General features: G+C 36.3%; 1 protein-coding gene and 1 pseudogene across 2 annotated transcripts in view; one reads left to right on the top strand and one right to left on the bottom strand.

Moving 5' to 3' along the window:
* The window catches only part of VWA8 (von Willebrand factor A domain containing 8), a 394,275-nt gene that overhangs the window by 51,405 nt on the left and 326,634 nt on the right, over nucleotides 1–16,236 (top strand). For both annotated transcript variants that reach the window (NM_015058.2, NM_001009814.2), the window contains exon 4: nucleotides 2,009–2,119. In NM_015058.2, the coding sequence (NP_055873.1) occupies nucleotides 2,009–2,119 (111 nt within the window). The remainder of the gene's footprint in view (nucleotides 1–2,008; nucleotides 2,120–16,236) is intronic.
* Nucleotides 4,482–4,587, bottom strand: RNU6-74P (RNA, U6 small nuclear 74, pseudogene; annotated as a pseudogene).

The raw sequence follows: 16,236 nt of genomic DNA, 5'->3' as shown, positions 1-16,236 counted from the left end.
AAGGAAGCTGAGGATAATGATCATGTAGCAGTTCAGGGTGTAACTCTGTGCAGTTTAACAATAAGAGGCATATATAACTTTGTCAACTAATGGAAGCCTATTGTAATGACAGGGTTTTTCATTGAGGGAGATCACTTCCAGCCAGTCAATGAAGCAGACATGAAGATACTAGTGATGTGTTCCAGAAGCAAGAAGTAATACCTGCCAACAAGAGAAATTGCCACTTTACTCCAAAATTGTGCTCTCTCAGCCAATTCATTTGTTTTTAGGGAAACATCCTTAGGTATCACCACATCTTTGCCACTAGTCGGTGTTTTCTCTATTTAAAAATTTTTCCTCCTTTTAGACTGGGTGCGGTGGCTCATGCCTATGATCCCAACACTTTGGGAGGCCCAGGTGGGCAGATCACTTGAAGTCAAGAGTTCGAGATCAGTCTGGCCGACATGGTGAAATCCCGTCTGTACTAAAAAATACAAACATTAGCCAGGCATGGTGGCATATGCCTATAGTCCCAGCCACAGCCACTCTGGAGGCTGAGGCACAAGAATTGCTTGAACCTGGGAAGCAGAGGTTGCAGTGAGCTGAGATCGCACCACTGTACAACAGCCTGGGTGACAGAGTGAGACTATCTCAAAAAAAAAAAAAAAAAATTTTTTTCCTCCTTTACGTACATAAAGTTATGTAACATGGGGACAGGCACATTAAAGGAGACCTAAATTACAACAATAATATGTTTTTATCAGTAGCATATGGAGATAGGATGGAGAAAAAATCCCCTTGTATGGCAGTATCCCTTTTTGCCATTAATGGCATGTTCATTCCCATTTTCCATTATACTTAAGTAACTCAGTTTGTTCCTCATGTTTAGTAAAAACTTATTGTGTGCCTTATTTGATTGGAGAATGTCATTGTTTTTACTTCAACATTGTAAAACCAAAGATAATGTTAAAAACTTTTTGTACATGATTATAGGGCAAAAGACTTTTAAGGATGGATAAATTATCTTGAAACAGGTGAATTCTGCATCGTTTCCTCTTCAAATCTCATGATTTTTTTGATTATTTTTTTGTCCTCTTTCTGTTCCTTCTACTCCTCCTCCTTCCTTTTCCTCCTCCTTTTTCATCACCTCCTTCCTCTCCTTTTTAAAATCCTCCTTCTACTTCTCCTACAACTATGCATGTGTATTTATCTTCTGTTTACCTGATTATTGGGTTTGTTTGTTTTTTTTCCCTTGAGATGGAGTCTTGCTTTGTTGCCCAGGCTGGAGTGCAATGGTGTGATCTCGGCTTACTGCAACCTCAACCTCCACCTCCTGGGTTCAAGCAATTCTCCTGCCTCAGCCTCCCGAGTAGCAGGGACTACAGGCATGCGCCACCATACCTGGCTAATTTTTGTATTTTTAATAGAGACAGGGTTTCACCACATTGGCCAGGCTGGTCTCGAACTTCTGACCTCAAGTGATCTGCCCACTTCGGCCTCCCAAAGTGCTGGGATTACAGGTGTGAGCCACAGCGCCCAGCTGATTATTGGGATTTTTACCTTGTTTTCACATTTGGTAAAGTACCTAACATACTGTATACACTTGGCAAACATTGATCCATGGAATAAATTAATCTAAATCACCCCTTTATAAAAGATGAACATTACTTACAGAAATGGCTATAGTTTGTGGGCAAACCAAATAGTAATACTGTCAAATTATTGCTCATTATATTTGGAAATAATTCTACAGGAAAAATTAAGGTTTGTAAAATTGGATTTTGATTATTATTGCTTAAGTAGTAGGATTGAGTGCCATAGAAGAAGAGCTCTGAGGAGATATATAGATATTTTGATTAAAGTTCAATTTATTTCTTTTTTCTCAAACTTAGATTCAACAAGTTTCAACCCAAAATTAGGTTTAACAATGCACTTCTCATGGGCAATGGCATTGTCAGATAACTAGTTCCAAATCATATGCTGGAAATTTGATTTTATTTTTGGAATAATTTCATTCTCTTCTCTACAGGAGCTGACCAAACGGGAGGTCGAATACATTGCCCTGTCAAGGGACACCACTGAAACTGATCTCAAACAGCGACGAGAGATCCGTGCAGGCACAGCCTTTTACATTGATCAGGCAAGTTCTGTCACACTCTAGCCCATGACTGTGTACTCCAGGTCTATACAAGATTGATTTTTAAAGTAGAAAGAGAGTAGCTCATATAACAGTAAAAGGTAGTTGTATTGTGCTCTCTCTAGACAGATTTAATTTAGATTTTTAGTTTCACTGTTCTTGGAAATGTCTTCTTGGTTTTGTACTAAATGAGAAATCCTAGATGAAATTAATGGTTCTAAAACGTTAAAGATCAATGTGCTGATTTCATAATTTTAAATTGTTTCCTACTACTTGCCTATAGAAATTTGATTTATTAAAAAATGAATTAAGGAGATTTGATATAGGAGATTCTCTAGCATATTTATTAAAGTATTTTCAATCTATAGGTCACTTGGGTAAAGGGGTATTAAAGGTAGTGAGAGTATACACTTCCAGAAACTATAGCTTTTTCTCTGGTGGGAGAGTATCTTAGGTACAGATTACCAACTAACATAATGTTTTATGAACATTATAATGAAACTTGTTTTACACTTCTTCAAATACATTGTTTAAAATATTGTTCTTAGGAGTATTTAATAGAAAAAGGATAGAGCCTATAAATAAGCAATTCATAGAGAAAATATTTCAAATATTCAATAATTTCATGAAAAGATGCTTGACTTTCTTATTTACAAAAATAAAAATTAAAAGACTGTCAGCTGCTATTTTTCTTTTACCTCTCAGATTGGCAAAGATTAAAGAATTTGCTAATGTCCAGTATTAATGAGGAAGAAGAGATGAGAAAACAGCATTGCTGTTGATGGCAGCAGAAATTAATGCAATTTAAAAAGAAAGTTTGGCAATATTTATCAAAAGAAAAGAAATTACACATGCATTTGGACTCAACAGTTATGTTTCTAGAAATTTTAGTCAAGTATATTCACATAAAACATGAAAAGTTATATGTACAAGGATGTTTAATGTAACATTGTTTGAAATTGTATAAAACTGTGAATGAACAGAGTGATGTATACTTAAAGAGACTAATGAAATAATGGTAAGTAGAATACTCTTTAGTTATTAAAAAGAATGAGATGAATGTGTACGTACTGATAGGAAAGATGTGCAGGATAAATTAAGTGAAAAAAATAAATTTATAAGACAGTATGTATACTGTGATCCCATTTGTGGTAAAAAGAAGACAAGAAATGCATATATGTTTGTTTATACATTGAAAACTTCCAGAAGGATGCACAAGGAGCAGTTAACAGAGTGTACATAAAGTATGTTACAGAAGTGTGAGTTGGAGTCTGGAGTAGGATAAGGAAGAGACTTTCGTAGTTCTTTACATTTGAAACTTTAGCATGGGCACACTGTTACGTTATAATTAAAAGACTGTAATTGTAAAAAATCACTGAGTGGAAAGTTTTTGAGGAATAGGATATTCACATGGCCTCATGTGTTACTTATTAATTACAAAAGAAAAAAATGCACTTAAAATGGAGAGATTTGGCAGACACTACCTTAAATGATGGCTTTCAAAAAAATTTAGCATCATCTAGTGGGAATGTCTGAGAAGTTCAGATTTCCCATAATCAAAAAGTAATCCTTCACAGACAGAGCACATAAACAAATTTTAAAGGAACCCATTTTGTTTACATAATGCCAAAAGTTCACTTCATAGATTACTTCTGATTACAAATGGGAAAAAATAATGTACCTTTACAATGATGAGATCTGGCATTGGCTCCATTAACCAACTCATACAACAGAATTATCATGATGTGAATGCTGATGTGATTCAATGAGGGTTTACCTCTACAGGGTAAGAGCACTCCAACAGGTTTACTAAGAGTACTACAGCATTACCAATGTAGTACTCTTACTAAAAACGTTTAACATTAACAATCAGACTGATCTAGAATGTGTGATAGTCTGTAAGACAACAACTTGGACTCCTAAAAAATGTTCAATGTCCTAAAAGTCAAAACAGGTAAGGAATGGTTCCAGATTAAAAGGTTGGGGAGGGAAGATGATTTAGTTTCTTTATTGCACTGTAGTATAGATAGCCATTTTTATGTTTGTCTTTTAGATTCAAAGTTCTTACATTAAAATGCAAATTAAAAATTTTAAATAATTTATAGTCAAATTTTAAAACAAAGAATAGAATTATCAGATATAATTTTATAGTATAATTTTACCAGGGAATTTTTAAAGAGCTCTTTGTGCTCATGTACATTACCTATAAATGGTAATAGGTAACAACCATTACTAATAATTTTATATCTAACTGTCCAGTTTTGTAATGAAAAATTCTCTCTTGTAGCCAAGAGGTTCTTGTATTCATCATTTTAAACATTTTTAAGACCCCTGCTGTGTTTTCTTTGTGAAGAAGTCCCTTAAAAAAAAATGGAATGCTTTATGAATTTGCATGTCATCCTTGAGGAGGGGTCATGCTAATCTTCTTTGTATCATTCCAATTTTAGTATATGTGCTGCCGAAGCAAGCACTAAGTGCCTTTTGAAATATGAATTTGAATTTATATTTCTATCTTGTTGACTTCGACTCTCAATTTAATGGTATTTATTCCAAACCTAGTGATTCACATAATATCCACATTATAAAAATATATTTTTATTCAAAAGCTTATATTTATTTTTAGAATGAACAACCTGCATTTTTCACGTGGTAAGAAAGGTAACAGGAAAGTCCTAATTTCTTTTTCCAGTTGGTTATCTTTTAGAAAGGGTAGATATTAATTCACAGGATCATTTCCACTGAACTTCTTTGCAAGCTGTTTGGAATAGTGGATAGAGTTATTTGATTAAGGGTGTTTAATTTTTTAAATTTCATATTGGGTTAATTTTCTAAAATATATGGTCTGGTAATCCCTAAAATTTTAATACATTTAAAACTTATGTGAAGATTTAGGCTACTAAACAGTAAATCTGGAATATTGCAGTTAATACAAATAATAAAATTTAAAATTCAGGATATTTTTTAAGCATACAGCTTTTGATTGCTTACATTTCTGTTCCCATGATAGTTACACATAAAGGTGCTGTAAACCCCACACCACCCCCAATTGACAAGGTTTTAAAAAAATTTGCCTCTTTTCTATACTCAGAGAAGATAAGAGTGAGGGATGGGATTTGAGCTGGAATAGTGAGGAGCTGGGTAAAGGGATTAGAAGCTGGAACAATGACCTAAGTAGAGGTGAGGAGTCAGGAATATATTTAAATAATGGTGAAAGAACTGGCTTTGTTTGGTAGAGTATGGATTTAAAAATATATTTTTAAAATGAATTTTATAATTTGCAAATAGTAAGGAAGAGAAAATGGATTTTTAAATGTGTTTATTATTTTAAGGAGAGCTTAACACTTTAGCTTTTTAGAAATTGTTTTAGGAAACTAAATTTATCGATTATCTAAAGATTTATTTGTTGGACCATTATAGTAAATTATTTAGATGAAACTTTCTGAAGTTATACAGTCCTTTGGTCCTTCTAAAAAGAATATTTTTAGATGATATATATTTTAGTTTATAAAGTTTATAAATATTTTAAGTGTCTTACCTTGGCAGCATTTTACACTCTTATGTTTTGTTGGTGAATCCTGCTCATTCTGATGAGCATCTGTTATTTACTGTGCTCTAATCCCACTGATACCTTCGGAGCCCGTGACTGAGGTGCAGGAATGTTAGTCCTTTCTTTATTGCTTCAGATGACGTTTTGAGGTCTTATCTGATTTTCATATTTTTATTTTATCTTATTTCCTTGCAGTTAGTATTCCTTACTGTGCTGTTCATAATCAGATCCTACCAGTTCCTTGCTGCTTAAAGCCATGCAGTAATGTCCCATTACATCCACCGTCAGATCCAAACCCTGTAATATGGCCTACATCACTCTATAGGATCGAATGTTTGTCTACCACCTTTCCTTTTACTCCTTGCCTTGCAGGCTGCAGCTGCAGTTGCCTTCCTTTGTACTTGGTGTTTCCTCTGCTTGGTGTGAGTTTCTCTTTGTACTTTATATTCTTGCCTCCTTGTAATTCAGGTTATAAATTTCTTAGCTAAAGTAGCCACTGGCCATGCCTACCCCCTTTCCAAATATACCATGCCGCACCAGGCTGTCATCGTACATGATATTATCTCCAGAGCACTTAGCACTCTCTGAACTTACCTATTTCCCTGCTCCCATGTTTGTTGGCTCTCCTCCCCCGCTAGAATATAACTGTCTATCTTGCTCATCTCAGGCACCTAAAAACTGTCTGGAACATAAGTGACACATATATTGATGGTAGATTTCTTCTTTGGGTAATCAACTTTATTACAATTTTAACTAAATTAAGAATAAGTGGGTTCTGGCCTTAATTTATTCATGAAAACACCAGGTGGGGTTTTCTATGGATGTTTGCCTTTTTGACATCTATTTTGAGTCATCACAATGGATAATTTCCATTTGAATTCTAGATAGATGAATTTGCCAGTTGACTACCAGCTAGACGTATATTTGTTACACCGAAAGGCCTTTGCATTTATTTTATTTAAAAATTCCTTTTTATTTATTCAGTGTTCTTAACCATTGAATTTGATGTTTGGGCTGAAGGGACGGGCAGTATTTTTATTCACTGTTAGGTGATCCCTGTAACTTGATGGCCCAATATAGGTGAAAAAGTACCTGTGGCTCTCTGGTGGGTATTGGGAGAAAGTTTGGGATTTTCAGTATCATTCCCATTGTACGCACCTATGACTGGTATCCAGGTTATTACGAATTGACATATCAGCTGGAAACACCCAAATCCTGAGTTGTTGGTCATGGCCATTAAGCTCTTCACTAATTCTCACCTAAAACTAAGGATGATTGATGATAAAGCAAGAGGTTTAAACTCAACTGCTACCTTTGAAGGCGAGAATTAGGTTAATAATAATATGTAATAGGGAATTTATATTGTTTTCAAAGTAAAGTTTATTTTTTCTGATTATGCAAGTCATAAATGCTCATTTGATATAAATGCATATAATATTTGTATTTATTAACAAATATATATTGAATGATTGATATGTGCAAGGCATTATCCAGATGCAGTGAACAAATAAACCAAAAATCTCTGTTGTTATAGAGCTTATGTTTTAGTTGGGGAAACCAAACAGTAAAGAAGGGTAGCATAATTGAGTAAATACTAAAAAGCATACGAAAGAACTGAAAAATTACTTGCTGTATTCTTCTTCAAGACGAGCAGCATGAATATTTTCTGTATTTCTTTCTATGTGCATATGTTTATAATGTATAATGTATAATTTTTACAAAAATGGTATGCCATGTATATAAAGTTTATAGTGTTTTTTAAAAACCTGGCATTTTATCAGGAGCATCTCCTTTTGACATTAGATGTTACTCAAAGATATGATTTTTAGTATCCGTACAATATTTCATCAGATAGGTATGCTGTTATTTATTTAACATTCCTATTTTTTCTACCTTTTTATATTATTGGTTATTCAGGTTCTTTCTCACTTTTCACTAGTACAAATAACCACATCATTATTTAAAAATACATCCTAATTTGCACTTGGACAGTCGGGGAAGATCTCTCTCTGTTTACTGTGGCCTCTGTGTTAGAACTCAAGTGTTTGCTCGTTGTTATGTTGCTATCATACTCAGAAGAACTCCTTTCTATTTGCATATATATGTATGCAAATATATATGTGTGTGTATATATATATATATATATATATATTTTTTTTTTTTTTTTTTTTTTTTTGAGATGGAGTCTTGTTCTGTCACCCAGGCTGGAGTGCAGTGGCATGATCTCGGCTCACTGCAACCTCTGCCTCCTGGGTACAAGCAATTCTCGTGCCTCAGCCTCCCGAGTAACTGGGACTACAGGTGCGCACCATCACATTTGGGTAATTTTTGTATTTTTTCATGGAGACATGGTTTTGCCATGTTGGCCAGGCTGGTTTCGAACTGACCTCAGGTGATCCGCATACCTCGGCCTCCCACCGTGCTGGTATAACAGGCGTGAGCCACTGCGACTGGCCTACTTGTATAATGTTAACTGTTTGACAGATGCATATAATTTGTTTTGAAAGAAAAGAGAGAGATGAAAAGGAAACTTTTATTGGGAGACCTACGTTGTGCTAGGTGCTTCGTATTATTGCATTTAATTCTCAGAACATCCTTAGGAGGAAGATGACTTTTCCATCTTACAGATTAAGTAACAGGGGCTTAGAAGGTGATGGTTGTACAACTGATAAATAGCAGAGGTAAAATTTGAACCAGGCTCTGTCCAATTACAAAGCTCAAGTTCTTTTACCATATTATGCTACTTCTCTAAAAAAGTGATGATGAGCTGAGTGCAGTGGCTCATGCCTGTAATTCCAACCCTTGAGGAGGCCAGGTGGGTGGATCACTTGAGGCCAGGAGTTCAAGGTTACAGTGAGCTATGATTGAGTCATTGCAATCCAGCCTGGGTAACAAAGTGAGACTCTGCTTGTAAAAAAAAAAAAAAAAAAAAATGATGATCATGATGACAGTGACAATGATGATTGTATTCATAACAGTAACAGCAACTAATTGTTTTTTAAGGTTTACTGTGTGCCCAAAGTTATCTGATTTAATCTGCAACACAGTCTATGAGATAAGCACCAAAATGAGCCTAGTTTTAGAGAGAAATGGAGGCTCAGTGAGTAATCTAAGTCACCTATAATAAGTAAATGGTAGAGCAACCAAAAATCAATCCGATTCTATTCTGATGTGTTAAAATGAAGAACTTGAAATGTAATTTAAAAAATTTTTCTTTAGCTTCCTCAGTACTTTTACACCGTAGCTATTTTGAGTAAATTTGAAGCTTTATGGACTCTATTTTTATTAAATAATGACTACATTAATAATAGTTTATATTTTAGTAGGTTCAGTTACTTTAAATTTTTTTTTGCAGTACTGCTTTGACTCTTAAACTGTTACACTGTATAATACCCCTTGAGGATATTCTAATTTTGTAAATGAGGACAAAGACATCCAGATTAATTGTTTGCCTAAGGTCTTATATCAAATCAGAAGCAAATCTAGAACAGGGACTTAGATACTTTTTGATTTTAGGTCACACACCTACTTTTATCTTGAAATCTTTCATGTCCATGTGTTGAGTGGTTAAAGCTGTGATAGGAGATGGCTGGGCCAGAAGGATCCTGCTGCATTTTTTTCTGAATTCTATTTGAGAAAATTAGGTCTCTGGAAGTTCTGTAGCTTGAAGGACAAGAAGAGCTCCTTATAGATGGTCTAATTTCTACTTTGAGGAATGATTACAACTAGTCATTCCACATTAAAAAAATACATATATTGCTCCTTTTTAAGAAAGATTTCAAAAAAATTATACTACAATTATTTTATGTTACAACCTGTATAGAAAAATCTTCCAACTATCTAGCCTAAATCTCTCATGCTGATAAACTTGTTCTATTCTGTTTTCATAACAAGTGTAGGCATAGATAACTATCATCCTTCCTACAAAAATTCTTCCTAACCTTACATAACAGCATCTTTTAACTGAGTGGTTGCATGTTTATTCCATAAATGCTAATAGCCTGCTGTGAGCCAGTTTTGTACCAGTATGCCATAAAAGACAGGGTTCTCATCCTTCGTAGAGCTAAGAATCCACTGGGGAGATGAAACGTAGGTATGAAAGAACAAGAATACTTCGAGATTGTACCCCCACACTTACATGCTATGCAAATGAGGCAAAGTGGGTATTGATGTAAGGAGGTTAAGATGCTTGGGCCTCTATTGGGCAGAAAACTTGTAACATTTACTTTTTTCTCTCCAGTTGAGTCTGAGATATATGGTATGGCACAGTACGTTGTTGCTATATTACTTAATGGACTTGCCATTTGTTCTATTCAGTTGCTTATTTTTAAAATTTATTCTTTACAAATGTAGTCATATTTATAAAGTTTGATAGTACTTTTTGATAGTACTGATTAAGTATTTTAATGATTTTATAGGCTATTTTAAGGAAGAACCAGGAAGCAAAGTGATCCTGAAATAGTAACTAACTAGTATTAGTTCTGAAAATTGAGCGTTTCAGATTTTGTTTCCAAAGAGCATCTTCTCAAGATTTTCTCCTTTTGGCTAGTATTCTTATTTATATTTTTAAAGTTTAGTTTTCATATGTTCTGGGTCTACAACTGTGTAACCAAAGGGCAAATAGGGAGAAAATTTTAAAATCTTGGGCGATTCATTTTTGTCTTTTGTTTTCTAAAAATTATACCAGCCTTACACATTTGCAATCCCCTTATAATATTCTTGCCTCTGGATTCAGTTGCACTATAAAACATCCATTCTTGTTGCCATTTAGATAGTGTGTAAAATTAATAAATAATTTATATTGAATTAATCAGAAAAAAGGTTGGGAAGATTTTTCATTTATTAATTTTCCTTTTTAGTTGACAATAGTCCATTTTCACAGGATATAGAGTGATACTGAGAGGTGACAGGGTGCTGGCAGTCCTCAGAGCCCTCGCTTGCTCTCGGCACCTCCTCTGCCTGGGCTCCCACTTTGGCGGCACTTGAGGAGTCCTTCAGCCCACCGCTGCACTGTGGGAGCCCCTTTCTGGGCTGGCCAAGGCCAGAGCCGGCTCCCTCAGCTTGCAGGGAGGTGTGGAGGAAGAGGCGCGAGCGGGAATCGGGGCTGCGCGCGGCGCTTGCGGGCCAGCTTGGAGTTCCGGGTGGGCGTGGGCTTGGCGGGCCCACACTCGGAGCAGCCGGCCGGCCCTGCAGGCCCCGGGCAATGAGGGACTTAGCACCCGGGCCAGCGGCGTGTGGAGGGTGTACTGGGTCCCCCAGCAGTGCCAGCCCACCGGCGCTGCGCTCGATTTCTCGCCGGGCCTTAGCTGCCTTCCCGCGGGGCAGGCCTCGGGACTGCAGCCCGCCATGCCTGAGCCTTCCCCCGCCTCCGTGGGTTCCTGTGCAGCCCGAGCCTCCCGGACGAATGCCGCCCCCTGCTCCACGGCGCCCAGTCCCATCGACCACCCAAGGGCTGAGGAGTGCCAGCGCATGGCGCAGGACTGGCAGGCAGCTCCACCTGCAGCCCTGGTGCGGGATCCACTGGGTGAAGCCAGCTGGGCTCCTGAGTCTGGTGGGGATGTGGAGAGTCTTTATGTCTAGCTCAGGGATTGTAAACACACCAATCAGCACCGGGTGTCTAGCTCAGGGTTTGTGAGTGCACCAATCGACACTCTGTATCTAGCTGCTCTGGTGGGGCCTTGGAGCACCCTGTGTCTAGCTCAGGGATTGTAAATACACCAATTGGCACTCTGTATCTAGCTCAAGGTTTGTAAACACACCAATCAGCACCCTGTGTCTAGCTCAGGGTTTGTGAGTGCACCAATCGACACTCTGTATCTACCTGCTCTGGTGGGGCCTTGGAGAACCTTTATGTCTAGCTCAGGGATTGTAAATACACCAATCGGCACTCAGTATCTACCTCAAGGTTTGTAAACACACCAATCAGCACCCTGTGTCTAGCTCAGGGTTTGTGAATGCACCAATCGACACTCTGTATCTAGCTATTCTGGTGGGGCCTTGGAGAACCTTTGTGTCAACACTGTATCTAGCTAATCTGGTGGGGATGTGGAGAACCTTTGTGTCTAGCTCAGGGATTGTAAACGCACCAGTCAGCGCCCTGTCAAAACAGACCACTCGGCTCTACCAATCAGCAGGATGTGGGTGGGGGCCAGCTAGCAGAATAAAAGCAGGCTGCCGGAGCCAGCAGTGGCAACCCGCTCGGGTCCCCTTCCACAGTGTGGAAGCTTTGTTTTTTCGCTCTTTGCAATAAATCTTGCTACTGCCCACTATTTGGGTCCACACTGCTTTTATGAGCTGTAACACTCACAGCGAAGGTCTGCAGCTTCACTCCTGAAGCCAGCGAGACCACGAGCCCACCGGGAGGAACAAACAACTCCAGACGCGCAGCCTTAAGAGCTGTAACACACACCGCGAGGGTCTGCGGCTTCATTCTTGAAGTCAGTGAGACCAAGAACCTACCAATTTCGGACACAATACTTTAATACATCTATTCAGTCCATATATTGCTGGATCAGATGATAGCTCCTCTTTTAAACTTTTGAAGAACCTCCATATTGTTTTTTATAATGGCTGTACTAATTTACATTTCCATCAACAGTGTGTAAAACTTCTCTTTTCTCCACATCCTCATCAACATCCATTACTTTTTTCTCTTTTTCACAGTGGCCATTCTAACTGGAGTGAGAGGTCTCATTGTGGTTTTCATTGCATTTCTCTGGTGATTAGTGATGTTGGGCATTTCCTTACTGGCCATCTGTACGTCTTCTTTTGAGAAATGTCTGTTCAGATCCTTTACCCATTTTTAAATCTTATCTTTTTTTTTTGCAATTGATTTGAGTTCCTTGTATGTTCTCAATATTTGTCCTCTTATTCTCTTTCCTTATTCGCTTAGTCCTGGAAAGGGAGTTATAGCTTTTTGAGTAAACAACATATTGTGGGCCTTTTCACAGGTAAAGATGGAGCTATATCATTATTTTTAATATCTGTGTAGAAGTCCATCATATTGAATTACCACAATTTTTTGCCAATCCTTCACAGATTGGCATTTACGGTTTTTGGGTTCATTTGTAATTATAAAACAGTGTTTTGATGACTGGATAATACACATCATTGTACACTTATCATTTCCTTTAGATAAATTTATTGAAGTAGAATTTCTGGGTTAATAACATAGCCATTTACATTTTTATATATCTTTCTAAGTTACTCTCCATAAGCTTATCATTTTGCACTCTGACCAACCATGAATGAGAGTTTTGGTTTCATCTTAATCTTACTGACACTGGATATTATCATTCTTTTTTAATCCTTGCCAATTTGAAAGTCTAAAAATATCATGTTTTACCTTTAGCTCTCTAATAACCAGTGAAGTTGAATATATATTTTTGTGGTGCTAATTTGCATTTTATAGGGGTATTGTTAATTTTCTTAATAATCTATAAAAATTCAATTTATACTAAAGATATTTATGTGGTCTTTATTGTATATGTTACAAACATCTTCCAAGTTTTCAGTCTTTTAGTTTGAGATATTTTTTGCTGTATAGACCAATTTGAATGTAGTCATATCTATTAATCTTTTTCTTAATGGTATCTGCCTTTGAGTTATTGGATTTTTCCCAATTCAAGATTATTTTCAAAAAGTCACATATGATTATCCAGTAATTACATGATTTTACTTGTATCATTAAATTTTTAAATTCATTTGGATTTCTTTTCCAAATTCCTAATTTCTACTAATTTGAAGTGTACTTTTCTTATATTTTAAAATGTTTAATCATTTTTATTAACTAGTTTCCTTACATAGGAAAGGTAATACATGTAATAATAGCAAAAAAAATTTTTTTCCAACAGTGCGAGAGAGTTATATCAAATCTCTCTAACCTCTTTCATTTACAAGAGTTTCTTGTTCATACATTACATTTCTAGAGAGACTAGCATACCTTCTTAAATTCTGTTTTATTGATTTGCCTATCTAGTCATGGTTCTTTGTATTCCTAAATTAAACTCACTCCTAATTGCTCTTCTTTTACAGAATTTTCCTGGCAATTTGTCTAATGGATTATTAAAGGAAAGTTAGAGACATTTAGAAGCCACTGTCAGAAACTGGATCTTTGCCTAATTGGTTTTTTTTACATTAAGATTTTTTGGGAGAAAGAAAGAGCTTTGGTAAATGTTTTTGTAAGAAAAACTAAAAAAAAAAAAAAAAAAGAAAATTTGCAAGTAAAACAAATGAAAAGAGGCTTAAACTGAAGTTTGTTATATCTTGAAAACAATTTAGCAAACAGGACGTATCACAGTTCTTAATTAAGTCACATGAGGATAATAGCACAATTAGTGGGTTAGGTTGATTTAAAAGACTAATGAGCCTTTTCTGTTAACTACCTCTCTTTTCAGATATTTTTAGGCAGGTGGTTAGTTTCATTGCTGAGTTGATGATGATTTGAAAAACAATGTTGATTTGGGGAAATGTAATTGTAGTTATCTGTAGAAGACTTTGAGGCAGATTGCACTGCTGTATGACCATGTATGCTCTATGTTGAACTGAGTATTTTGTGTGTGTAGAGATGTTTTGTGTGTGTTTGGTTTCGTTTCTCTGCATAGGTAACACAGCAAATTCCTATGCCTAGTAAAACCAGACTCTCTGAGATTACTAGTAACCTCTAGATGTGATTATTTAATGACTTTTTTTAGTTCTTACTCTACTCGTTTTCTTTCAATTTAAGGACAGGCTAAAATTTTAGCCATGCAATTTTCAAATTATATAACCTCTCTTCCAGTAAATTGGGTAAAATATTGTGTACCTCAGAGGACTGTCATAGGGTTAAATTAAATAGTATACTTGGAAGCGCCTGATATGTATCAGTTATAAACTTGTAGGCCCTACCATGTTCCCACTCAGTAAACAGACCAAACTATCTCCAACATCTAGTAGCAACTCTTTTAGTTTTATTTCAATAATTATACGTTCTCTTTTCTGTATTCCTCTACTAGCTCCTCTTCATCATTTAAACATGCTCAAGTTTTTGAATCATTAAAAAAAAAGACTGTTATCTCCCACACGGTCCCCAACCAAGTCCCTGCAGCAGCCATCTCCTTTTTCCTCCTCATGGCCAATTATTTTGCAAAATGTTGCTCAATTTAGATTTGTCTGATGTTTCCTTATGATTTGATTGAAATGATGCATTTTTAGCAAGAATAATATAAAAGTGATGTTGTGCCCATCTCAGGGTATCATATTAGAAGTCTGGTATGTGAGATTGATATAGCTCATTACTGGTCACATTGACTTTGATCACTTGGTTAATTAAGGTGGTATCTGCTAGGTTTCTCCAGTGTTGTATTATTTTTCACTTTGTCATTTTAAAATATTTTGTGAGGAGATATTTGAGTATATACAAATACCTGTTTCTCATAATATACTTAGCCACTAATTTTACCATCCATTTTGGATTCTTGACTGCAGCAGTTACTACTGTGGTGTTTGCGAAATTGATCATTTTCTATTTCTATCATTCGTTAGTAGTAGAGATTCTTAAATTGAGGTCTCTGCTCTATACATATACCTGCATGCATTTGACTGTGGAGAAAAGTTGCAGCATTGACCAGATTTTCAAGAGATCATTAAATTGTGTTATCCTTTTTCCATCTATCCCTACTTTTTCAACTTTGTGGTCACAGTACTGCCATTAGAGTAGATGGAAAAAAAACCTTGTGTATTTAGCTTCTGTTTTTGATCTCTCTGCATAGCTTGTTCTGAATTCCTTTGAAGAGATTCAATGCATAGCAGACCACAGTACACCTGAGGTGAATGAAAGTGGAGCTGCAGTGTTTGTTGTTGTCCTATGTTGTCAAGACTTTGCTTTTTGTGGCCCATAGATGGTGAACCATTACATTTTGATCTGTATATTTCTAGTTTTATCTCAAAGAATGTGGGTTTTCATCCCTATGGAGTTTTTAAAAAGTCAAATGCAATATTTAGTCTGTCGTATAAGAAAGATTGCTAAAAGTTTTAGATTTCTTAAAATAATATTACCCTAGATTATGATAACAATTAATTTCTTTTTTGTTCTGAGCTGTGCTTTCTTGAAGTAAATATATTTTTGCGAGCAAAAGCTTAATTGAAACCTTAACTGAAATGTGAATTTTTATAAGAAGTAGTTTGTATTCTTGCTCTGTCGCCCAGGCTGGAGTGTAGGGGTGCGATCTTGGCTCATTGCAACCTCTGCCTCCTGGGTTCAAGTCATTCTCCTGCCTCAGCCTCCCACGTAGCTAGGATTACAGGCGCCCGCCACCACACTTGGCTAATTTTTGTATTTCTAGTAGAGACGGGGTTTCACAATATTGGCCAGGCTGGTCTTGAACTTCTGACCTTGTGATCCACCCTCCTCAGCCTCCCAAAATGCTGAGATTATAGGCATGAGCCACTGAGCCCGGCCAATATTTTGACTTTTAATATCCCAGAATCTATTTCTACGACTTTGTCCTTTATACAGCTAGCAAAAATGAGATTCTTTTTTTTGTTGTTGTTCTTTAGAAACTACTAAGTCACTTCTACCCATGCTTTTTTTTTT

Source organism: Homo sapiens, chromosome 13, assembly GCF_000001405.40.
Source record: "Homo sapiens chromosome 13, GRCh38.p14 Primary Assembly".
Taxonomy (NCBI): Eukaryota; Metazoa; Chordata; class Mammalia; order Primates; family Hominidae; genus Homo; species Homo sapiens.
The sequence above is the reverse complement of the archived record's forward strand: the minus strand, read 5'-3'. Positions and strand labels throughout refer to the sequence as shown.